Source organism: Homo sapiens, chromosome 9, assembly GCF_000001405.40.
Source record: "Homo sapiens chromosome 9, GRCh38.p14 Primary Assembly".
In the NCBI taxonomy this organism is placed as follows: Eukaryota; Metazoa; Chordata; class Mammalia; order Primates; family Hominidae; genus Homo; species Homo sapiens.
Window position 1 is genome coordinate 16921176 of NC_000009.12, and position 12023 is coordinate 16933198.

The 12023-nt window shown below is 44.9% G+C and overlaps 1 annotated feature.

Annotated features, from left to right (window-relative positions):
• Nucleotides 493-1100: an enhancer, noted in NCBI's record as "OCT4-NANOG hESC enhancer chr9:16921666-16922273 (GRCh37/hg19 assembly coordinates)". NCBI's record gives its function as "activates a minimal SCP1, AML or CMV promoter by ChIP-STARR-seq in naive H9 embryonic stem cells {active_cell/tissue: H9 hESC(naive)}" and the evidence as "EXISTENCE:reporter gene assay evidence [ECO:0000049][PMID:30033119]".

Consider the following 12023-nt stretch of genomic DNA (forward strand, 5'->3'; position numbering starts at 1 on the left):
TACAAAAAATTAACCGGGCGTGGTGGTGGGCACCTGTAGTCCCAGCTACTCGGGAGCCTGAGGCAGGAGAATGGTGTGAACCTGGGAGGTGGAGCTTGCAGCGAGCCGAGATCACACCACTGCACTCCAGCCTGGGCGACAGAGCAAGATTCCATCTCAAAAAAAAAAAAAAAGAAAGAAAGAGAGTACTACGTACGTGGGTTGTTATTTCTTATACACGGCCAGGGAACTTGATCTTTATTTTTGTATTTCAAATACAAATCACACTAAATCAAGAGGCTGGGCGTGGTGGCTAACACCTGTGATCCCAGCACTTTGGGAGGCTGAGGCAGACGGATCACCTGAGGTAAGGAGTTCGAGACCAGCCTGGCCAATGTGGCAAAACCCCGTCTCGACTAAAAATACAAAAATTAGCCGAGCGTGGTGGTGTGCGCCTCTGATCCCAGCTACTCGGGAGGCTGAGGCAGAAGAATTGCTTGAATCCAGGAGGCGGAGGTTGCAGTGAGCCAAGATAGCACCATTGCACACCATCCTGGACAAAAAAGAGCGAAACACCGTCTCAAAACAAACAAAAAAAAACAACCCTTAACCCCAACCCACATGCTGTTAGTTACTGAATGTCTATCACCTGCTAGGTGGTGTGCTAAGTTAACAACCATTTCACAAATGAGGATATTCTAGTACCAACATGTTAAATTCTTTATCCAGGCTCTCACAGAAGGACTAGATCGTTTTAGACAGGGCTTCCACTAGAAGAGAAGGACAGAAAGAAATAATATTAACAACAACAATAATTACAGCTGACTCAACGCCTTGCACTTTGTCAAACATTTTATGGCATTGTCTTGTTTGATCACCCATTAACCACCCTGTGAGATGGGTATTAGTCACCCAGTTTCACAGTTTAGGACACTGAGGTTCATGGTCTTTGAGGGAGGTCCCTAAGGTAATTCAGCAGGGATTAAAATCAATCCTTCCTGGAGACTTTGATTTTCACTATGTTCTACTGCCTCCCAGAGTAGAGCAGGAATAAAAACCACCATATTTCTCATTTCCCGATCAGTTAATTTATTGACATCAAATTTCTGAAAAAGTTCCTCCCCTAAAATGTAAGTAAGTTTAAAAATTTCCCAGAATGTAAGTACTGAAAAGAAAGCAATCTATATGGCTGTTCCCCTAGAGGTTTCTAAGGTGATTTAGGTTTATATTGCATTTTAATGGAATACAAAAGTTTCCATGAAAAGAAAATCACTACCTGAATTATTCCCTTCAAGCTAGTATTATATCCTCTAATACAAAAACAATGTAAAGTCATCATTCCTTTTTCTAATCCTTCTCTTACATTCTTTAGGATACTCTAGTCATCTTCATATAAAATGATCAAGGTGAAGAAATATAAAATGATCAAGGTGAAGAAAATAACCAAGGTGAGGAAAGAGAACCCTTTTGCTTTCTGGAATGTGGTTTGCCTTATTCTTTGAAAAGAATGTATAGAGGATTAAGTATACTTCCCCCTCTTAAACTGTGCTTGTTACTTCCTACCTCCCATCAAGTACGTAATTTGCAGATCCCAGTACAAAATGAAAACTAGGTCACCCTTGTTCAAAAATTATTAAGAATTCCAAGATAGCAACAGCAGGGCATAAATGGATGCACAGGACCCTTCTAACAGGGTCTGGCTTCCTAAGCCACTGCGCAGATCTCAAGCTCCTGAAACCAGTCCTGCCTCCCATTACCATGGTAGCTCCACAGATGCAACAGTAACAAACTTAGCTCGCTTTAGCCAAGGAATAAATATCTTTGATGAGCTACCAGTGGGGCCTCTTGGTGTTGTCCAGCTAAGGAGTGTGTGAAGATACTGCTATGAGGCTGGGCATGGTGGCTCACGCCTATAATCTCAGCACTTTGGGAGGCCAAGGTGGGTGGATCACGAGGTCAAGAGATCGAGACCATGGTGAAACCCCGTCTCTACTAAAAATACAAAAAAAATTAGCCTGGCATGGTGGTGGGCGCCTGTAGTCCCAGCTACTCGGGAGGCTGAGGCAGAAGAGCATGAACCCAAGAGGCGGAGCTTGCAGTGAGCTGAGATTGCACCACCACACTCCAGCCTGGGCAACAGAGTGAGACTCCGTCTCAAAAAAAAAAAAAGAAAAAGATACTGCTATGAGTCACTGAAGACATCCTGTCTCTTACTTAGGAGCTTACATCAGTATATAATTGCCACAAGTTATTTCCTTGTAAAAAGTCATTGAAATATTTTAAGTCAAGAATCATATAGAGTATTTTCAAATTCAAATACAATGTTAGAATAGTGGTATTGACTTTGTGTCCAGAATTAGCGGGTTCTTGGTCTCACTGACTTCAAGAATAAAGCTGTGGACCCTGGCGGTGAGTGTTACAGTTCTTAAACATGGTGTGTCCCGAGTTTGTTCCTTCAGATGTTCATAGATGTCCAGAGCTTCTTCCTTCTGGTGGGTTTGTGGTCTCACTGACTTCCGGGGTGAAGCGGCAGACATTCACGGTCAGTTTTACAGCTCTTAAAGGCAGCGCGTTTGGAGTTGTTCGTCCCTCCCAGTGAGTTCGTGGTCTTGCTGGCTTCAGGAGTGAAGCTGTAGACATTCGCAGTGAGTGTTATAGCTCATAAAGGCACACAGACTGAAAGACTGAGCATCAACAAGATTTACTGTGAAGAGTGAAAGAACAAAGCTTTTCCAGCATGGAAAGGCACCAGAACAGATTGCCACTGCTAGCTCCGGAAGCCTGCTTTTATTCCCTTATCTGACCCTACCCACATCCTGCTGATTGGTCCATCTTACAGAGAGTTGCTTGGCCCATTTTACAGAGAGCTGATTGGCCCATTTTACAGAGAGCTGATTGGTCCATTTTGACAGTGTGCTGACTGGTGCATTTATGAACCTTGAGCTAGACACAGAGTGCTGATTGGTGCATTTACACTCCTTTAGCTTGACACAAAAGTTCTCCAAGTCCCCACTAGATTAGCTAGACACAGAGCACTGATTGGTGCATTTACAAACCTTGAGGAAGACACAGGGTACTGATTGATGCGTTTACAAACCTTGAGCTAGGCACAAAGTGCTGATTGGTGCATTTACAAACCTTTAGCTAGACTTAAAAGTTCTCCAAGTCTGCACCCGACTCAGAAGCCTAGCAGGCTTCGCCTAGTGGATCCCGCACCGGGCTGTGGGCAGAGCTGCCCGCCAGTCCTGTGCTGCGCGTCTGCACTCCCCAGCCCTTGGGTGGTCGATGGGACCCAGGCGTGCTGAGTAGTGGGCGGCAGGGAGACTCCAGCCGCATGAGATCCCACAGTGGGGGTGCGGGGGGGTAGTGGGTGTTTGGGCATGGCAGGCTGCATGTCCCGAGCCCTGCCCTGTTGGGGAGGCGGCTGAGGCCCGGTGAGAATTCAAGCGTGGTGTGGGCGGGTCCCCAGTGCTGGGGGATCCAGCATACCCTCTGCAGCTGCTGGCCCAGGTGCTAAGCCCCTCACTGCCCAGAGCCAGCAGCGCCGGGCACAGGGCCTGTGGAGCCCGCACCCACCCAGAGCTCACGCTGGCCCGCGAGTACAGCGCGCAGCCCCGGTTCCCGCCTGTGCCTCTCCCTCCACACCTCCCCACAAACGGAGCCATCTCTGGCCTCAGCCAGCCCAGAGAGGGGCTCCCACAGTGCAGCAGCGGGCTGTAGGGCTCCTCAAGTGTGGCCACACGCCGAGGCTGAGGAGGCGCCAAGGCTGAGGAGGTGCTGAGAGCGAGCGAGGGCTGCTAGCACGTTGTCACCTCTCAACTTCTGATTTTTTTATTATGTGTGTGTGTGTGTGTGTGTATATATATATATGTGGGGTTTTTTGCCAAAGAGGGGGTATATTTAGCATATGATCTTGGTGGCTATCATTGCTTAGTGGGCTAAGAAAAGAAACTGTCACAGAAGAAGACCAAAGGACCTGGGCAGCACAGGGAGCAGAGTGCCTGTCCTGGGGGTGGTCCTTGCTTTTGTGCACACTCCATTCACCCACACACCAGAGAAGCAAGAGGAAGATGGGAGAGGTGCAAACACAGGGTATTACATGTCTTATTTGTAGAATTCTAGATGTACAGATATATAAAGATTAAAAACTACAATTGTCTAAAAGAGGCTTTTCTGGAAAAATTGTTTCAATAGTTAGAATAATTATATTTTAGAGAAAAACTTAAAAGATCCCCTTGCTTGCTAATATTTTAACTACTAACAAGTAAAGAACATAAAAAAATATAAATCCTTCAAAGTCCTTTTTTTCTCTTTCAGCATCTCTGTAGATTTTCACTCAGGGCCCTGAATATAAGCAAAGGAAAATTTACACAGAAAAAAAAAAAAACAAAAAAACAGTAAAAAACAACACTTAAGTCATAGTTTAAAAATGCAAAAAGAAGCCAGGCATGTGGTGGAATGCCTGTAGTCCTAGCTACTTGAAAGGCTGAAGTGGGAGGGTCACTGGAGCCCGGGAGTTTGCAAGCAGCCTGGACAACACAGTGAGACCCTGTCTCTGAAAAAAAAAAAAAAAAAAAAAAGCTTCTAAATGAAGTGAGCAGTTTTCCTTGAGTAGGTTCTAAGGTGGAAGAAGTGGAGAGAAAACTGCTATATAACTATCATCTAGAAAATGATCCCCTCCTTTGAAATGAGTTTCAGTTTCAAACTGGGATAGATAATATCAAGTCTGCTTGTTAAATGTCATGTTGGAAAGCAAAAGTGTCCTTTCAAAGTATGGAATACACTGAATAAGATAAGCAGTGGATCCAGCAGTATGAGTTTTTAAATTTATTCAAAAAGAAGAAATAGAGGGGTACATTTAGAAGCAAAGTACAGGGCCAGGCACGGTGGCTCACACCTGTAATCCCAGCACTTTGGGAGGCCGAGGCGGGTGGATCATGAGGTCAGATCAAGACCATCCTGGCTAACTCAGTGAAACTCCGTCTCTACTAAAAATACAAAAACTTAGCTGGATGTGGTGGTGGGCACCTGTAGTCCCAGCTACTTGGGAGGCTGAGGTAGGATAATGGCATGAACCCAGGAGATGGAGCTTGCAGTGAGCCAAGATCACGCCACTGCACTCCAGCCTGGGTGAGAGAGCAAGACTCCATCTCAAAAAAAAAAAAAGGAACAAAGTACAGAAAACTGAGGAAAGGATTAGCTGCATACAAAAACATACTGCTCAGGAGAAAAAATTCTCACAGATCAGCCATAAAAAATACAACTTAGGGCTGGGTGTGGTGGCTCACGCCTGTAATCCCAGCACTTTGGGAGGCTGAGGTGGGTGGATCACCTGAGGTCAGGAGTTCGAGACCAGCCTGGCCAAGATGGTGAAACCTCATCTCTACTAAAAATACAAAATTAGCCGGGCATGCTGGAGGGCGCCTGTAATCCCAGCTACTTGGGAGGCTGAGGCAGGAGGATTGCTTGAACCTGGGAGGTGGAGGTTGCAGTGAGCTGAGATCTGCACTGCACTCCAGCCTGGGCAACAGAGCAAGACTCCATCTCAAAAAAAAAAAAAAATGGCGTAGATCAAGTGTCTCCACAGGTATCGAGTGTAGAAACATTGGCTTGAAAAATTGAGGTTAGGTCTTTAAATACAAATTGAATTAGATTTATCAGAAAGACTTTCCTAGAATTACCATAAAATTTAGGTAAAAGTTAAATCTGGCCTTAATTTGTCAAAATTATATGCCTTAATAACTTCACTTTCTGCGGTTGATTATAACACTTATCCCATATATTCATTCAACAAAACATTCACTGAGTGTGTAGTAAGTGCCTGGCACTGGGCTAGGCCCAGAGATGGGAAGGGGGCAAACGACATACGAAGATGTAATAAGACAAGGTAAGTGCAATAGTAGAGGCATGCACATGGTATTGAAAGGGAAACCTTGCCAGGCGTGGTGGCTCATGCCTTTAATCCTAGCACTTTGGGAGGCCAAGGCGGGCGGATCACCTGAGGTCAGGGGTTCGAGACCAGCCTGGCCAACATGGTGAAACCCCATCTCTACTAAAAATATGAAAATTAGCCAGGCGTGGTGGTGCGTGTCTGTAATCCCAGCTACTCAGGAGCCTGAGACAGGAGGATGGTTTCAACCCGGGAAGTCGAGGTTGCAGTGGGCCAAGATCGTGCCATTGCACTCCAGCCTGGGTGACAAGAGTGAAACTCTGTCTCAAAAAGAAAAAAGAAAGAAAGAGAAACCTTACCTAGAGAAAGCCACATGAATGTATGTGTGGAGGGATAATGCTATCTGGAAGACTTTGGGTTGTCTCCTAAAGTGATGAGTGTTGTAAGATGAGTAGGAGTTGGCTAAGCTGGGGGTCTGAGGACGGTTTGGGAAGGTAGAAGCAGTAAGCAGAAGCAGAGCACAAAGGCACGGAGAACCATGTGTGAACTTGGAAGCACAGCTGTCTTTGGAGCATAAATCATTAGGCAAAGACTTAGGTGATCTTGGTGAGATACAATGCATGGCTTGTTGGCGGCGTGGAGATTTGGAAGGGTTTTAACCGAGGGAGAGCCCTGCTGAGGTTTTGCATTGTATGGATGAGATGAAAGGGAGCCAAATAGCTCACTTTGGCTGTGTTACAGATGATGGGCTTGAGTAGGACTTACTGGAGACCAGTATTATAATCTAGGGAAAGATGGCAAGGGCCTAAAGACAAGGAAACTAGCAAGACTTAGGACAGATTAGATGTGGGAGTTGGGAAGGCGAAAGGGGAGGGTAAAACAGAGCAGGACTCAGGTTTAGCCTTCCCGACTGGGGGTCTATGCTGCTGCTAATTGAGTTAATGAATACGGAAAAAGGAATGTGTGTGTTTTGGTCAGGGTACCCCCCAGAACAGGAACACACTCAGGTTGGGCAACTGAGAAGGCCTTAATAACTAAATCAGTTACACAAAGTTGTGGGCAGGGTATAAAGACACCACGAGTACTAATGTAGCCCTTTGGAGCTAATAATAGTGGGATGAGGGAAGGAATGCTGTTGTCAACCCAAGATCTGAAGGAACCATTTTTGGGAACCTGAAAACAGAAGGTTGCTGTGTGGAAGGGCTGCCTGGCAAGAACTGTGACCTTGCTCAAGGGATGGGGAAGAAGCCATCCTGCTGCAGCCTTGCAGGGAGGTGAAGGAGGAGAGATCAGCACTGTGACCTCATTCTGGTCTCTTATTCTGACCTCCTGCTGGGATTGCTCATGGCCAAGCCCAACCGGAAGCTGAAGCAGAGTGAAGAGGTCCGCAGCATAGTTCATACAGGTTATCCTCCTAGGGCAACAGAGGATCTGGAGGGGAAAATGCAGTTTATGCAGCTCAATGTTAGGGAAGAACATAGTGAGTTCGGTTAGAAACAGGTGGACTTTTAGTTTTTAAAGGCTATCTGGGGTCTATATAGAGACAAAATGTGCCCTGGTGGCAGAAAAGCTTATATTTGCCTCTGTGATTCACCACTTACTAGATGTGTGAACTTGGACACATTTCTTAAACTGCTCTGTTCTTCAGTTTACTCATCTGTAAAAGAGAGCATAGTAATAGTACCTACCTCAAAGAGCTGTTGTGGATTAGCAATGAGATGACACATATGAAGTACTTAGAATAGTGCCTGGCACATAGAAAGCACTTAATAAACATCTGCTGTTAGCTATTATCCATATGGAAATGGTAAACCGACAGGGGAATATACAAATCTGAAGGTCAGGGAAGAAAGGAGATTTGATTCATACAATTGTAAGGGAAGTTGTCATTCTGAGCGAGCTCACCCAGGGAGACTGTCTTGAGTAGCACTGTCCAAGAGACATAGAATGCAAGCCGCATATGTAATTTTGAAAATGTGAAATTTAAAAAAGAAAAATAACCTGTGACATTAAAAAAACTAAAGAGGAACATGTGAAATTAATTTTGAAAAAAATAAACTTTTTTGAAAAAATAAACATTTGTGTTGTTTAACACAAATATATCAAAAATGTTACAATTTCAATGTGTATTTTTTTCTTTTTTTTTTTGAGACAGAGTTTTGATCTTTCCCCCAGGCTGGAGTGCAATGGCACGATCTGGGCTCACTGCAACTTCTGACTCCCAGGTTCAAGTGATTTTCCTGTCTTAGCCTTCCAAGTAGCTGGGATTATAGGCACCCGCCACCATGCCAGGCTAATTTTTGTATTTTTAGTAGAGACAGGGTTTTGCCATGTTGGCCAGGCTGGTTTTGAACTCCTGACCTCAGGTGATCCACCCGCCTTGGCCTCCAAAGTGCTGGGATTATAGGCATGAGCCACCACACCCAGCCGTATTTCATATTTTAAAAATTGAGATGTTTACTTTCTTTTTCATTTTTTTACTAAGTTTTTGAAGTTTGGCCTGTATTTTCTACTTACAGCACATGTCAGTTTGGATTAGTACATTTCAAATGCTGAATAGCCTCCTGTGGCTAGTGACTACTATATTGGACAGTGCTGGTCCAGAGATAGGAAAGCAGAAAGATTAGGTGAGGTCCCTGAACAATATTTGTCAGTAAGGCTCTGGGGCAGGATGAAGAAACAAAAGTGAAAAAGGAAAGGTTATAAGAATCAGAAAAGTGAGATTCCACAGAGAATCCAGGGTACAGAGTTTTTAGTAGCATTTTAGAGAGGTTAGAGCAGCCAGCCCAGTAAGGACAGGTCTATAAAATGACCACTGCATTTGCAAATAGAATGTTGTTGGTGATCTGGAAAGAAATTGTTTTCATAATAAAAATGATCTGCTGCTGGGTGTGGTGGCTCACACCTATAATCTCAGCACTTAGAGAGGCAGAGGTGGGAGGATAGCTTGAGCCCAGGAATTTCGAGACTAGCCTGGACAACATAGTGAGACTGTTTTCGACAAAAATGAAAAAACAAAAGAACAAATGTGGCCCAAAGGCCGGGCGTGGTGGCTCTCGCCTGTAATCCCAGCCCTTTGGGAGGCTGAGGCAAGCGGATCACAAGGTCAGAAGATCAAGACCATCCTGGCCAACATGGTGAACCCCCGTGTCCGCTAAAAATACAAAAATTAACTGGGTGTGGTGGCATGTGCCTGTAGTTTCAGCTACTTGGGAGGCTGAGGCAGGAGAATTGCTTAAACCAACCCGGAGGTGGAGGCTGCGGTGAGCCAAGATTATGCTATTGCACTCCAGCCTGGGCGACAGAGTGAGACTCCATCTCAAAAGAAAAAAAAAATAGTGGCCAAAAAGTGGACAGGAATGAATTATCTGGTTGTGGTGGAGTGAGAGGTGAGGCCAAGGAAAAATGTTGCTTTTTGTTTTTTTGTTTTTGAGAGAGTCTCACTCTGTCACCCAGGCTGGAGTGCAGTGCAGCAATCTCGGCTCACTGTAACCTCCGACTCTAGGGTTCAAGAGATTCTCCTGTCTTGGCCTTCGGAGTAGCTGGGATTACAGGCATGTGCTACCACTCCCAGCAAATTTTTGTATTTTTAACAGACAAGAGGTTTCAGCAGGTTGGCCAGGCTGGTCTTGAACTCCTGACCTCAGATGACCCACCCACCTTGGCTTCCCAAAGTGCTGGGATTACAGGCATGAGCCACCCTGCCTGGCCAATGTTGCAGTTGTTATTTTTTAAGAATAGGAGTCACTGAGCCTATTTATAGGTTAGGGTGAACAGGTTTACAGGGCATCCAGACAGATAACTCTGTCTAGGAGGCATTTTAAAATGTACTAGGGAAGAATAGCACATACCAGTGCTTCTCAGCTACATCTTTAAGGAGGGACATGCTCAGAAGTGTCGGATCCAACCTGGGCAACAAAGTGAGACCCCATCTCTACAAAAAATTAAAAAATTAGCTGAACATAGTGGCTTACGTCTGTAGTTCCAGCTACTGGGGACCAGCGGGGAGGGGGTCTGAGGTGGGGGGATCGCTTGAGCCCAGGAAGTTGAGGCTGCAGTAAGCTGTGATTACACCACTGCACTCCAGCCTGGGTGACAGAGAGAGACCTTGTCTCAAAAAAAAAAAAAAAAAAAAAAGAAAGTGTCAGATCCACTCATTCACTCTCTATCCCTTCTTCCTATCATGACTTTCATTGTAGTATCCTTCTTACTGATCTTATTGCCTCTAGTCTTAAGAGTTTCATCCACCTCCTCTACAGTTGCACCAGAGAGATCATATTAGGTTGCAAATACCATCAATGCCAGATATTATTTGTCCATTTGGGAAACATCTATTGGGGCCAACTTGTACACTTGGTGTTTATTCTTCAGCAATCAACATCCTTCTTTTCGCTTTCTATAAGGCTTTTGTTTCTATCTTGAAATCCATGTGATTCTGCCAATGGAGCATGTGACCTAGAATATTCCATCTCTCTCTCTTTTTTTTTTTGAGACAAAGTCTTGCTCAGCCACCCAGGCTGGAGTGCAGTGGTGCTATCTTGGCTCACTGCAACCTCCGCCTCCCAGGCTCAAGCGATTCTCCTGCCTCAGCCTCCCGAGTAGCTGGGACTACAGGTGAGTGCCACCACGCCCAGCTAATTTTTGTATTTTTAGTACAGATGGGGTTTCACCATGTTGGCTAGGATGGTCTCCATCTCTTGACCTCGTGATCCGCTTGCCTTGGCCTCCCAAAGTGCTGGGATTACAGGCATGAGCCACTGCAACCGGCCTCCATCTCTTTTGACACATAGGTTGGTTCTTTTGTGACATCTGACCTAGGGTGCCAATTGGAGCAAAACTTAAATTCTGCTTGGAATGTTCAGATAAAGGGTGTTCACTTTCCTTCCAGAGGGTATGTAGCTGTGAGACATGGAATTGTTACAGCTATGTTTGTTCTATGAGGAAATGTAGTCTGAGAATAAAGCAAGCACAGAGGGGACAGCAGAGCCAAGAAAGTCAGAAAAATGGACCCAGAGCCCAAATGATAAGAAATTCTGATTCAAGCCATGCCTGATGTCTCTGACTGGACATTTTGTTTCATGAACCAATAAATTACCTTTATTATTTAAACCAGATTGAATTGAATTTTCTATTATTTGCAACAACAACAAAAAATCTGCTCAAAAGCTTACTGTGTGCTAGGGTTTATACTAGAAGCTTAAAGCCATTTCACTACTTCAATGCTTCTCCTTGCCTATAGTGTTATTGATAATTAGTATAATCACATGCAGGACAAAGTCTCAATTCCTTTCCAAGGAGTTTCTCAATCAACAATGTTCTCCATGAAATGGCCTTGTCTACTTTTTTTGCTGCATCCCTTGTGGCATTATATATGTGTGTTTTCCGTTTTCATATTGCTATAAAGATACTACCCAAGGTACACTCTTCCTTAATTTATAAAGGAAAGAGGTTTAATTGACTCACAGTTCTGCATGGCTGGGAAGGCCACGGAAAACTTACAATCATGGCGGAAGGGGAAGCAGGCACGTCTCACATGGTGGCAGGAGAGATAGAGTGTGTGTGAGCGCAGGAAAAACTACCATTTACAAAACCATCAAATCTCGTGAGAATTCACTCCCTATCATGAGAACAGCATGGGGGAAACCACCCCCGTAATCAAATCACTTCCCTCCATTAACATATGGGGATAACAATTTGAAATGAGATTTGGGTGAGGACACAGAGCCAAACCATGTCTGTCTGTCTGTCTGTCTGTCTGTCTGTCTGTCTGTCTGTCTATCTAGCTATCTATCAGGCGTGGTGGTGGGCGCCTGTAGTCCCAGCTACTCAGGAGGCTGAGGCAGGAGAATGGCGCGAACCCAGGAGGTGTAAACTGCAGTGAGCCGAGACCGCGCCACTGCATTCCAGCCTGGATGACTGAGGGAGACTCTGTCTCAAAAAAAAAAAAGAAATATTCACTTTGACGAATGCTGCACTGACCGTCATATTCAGCAGGATTTGGAATTATCATTAGAATTTGTGCGTACTTGGCAAGAACACCTTTCCCTTCATTGTCCAGGAAAATTCTCATCTGAACCTACAAGGCTAGAATAAAATTACCACCTCAGTGAAGTCTTCCCTTAACCCCTTGCAGCCTTACATTTTCTTTCTGATG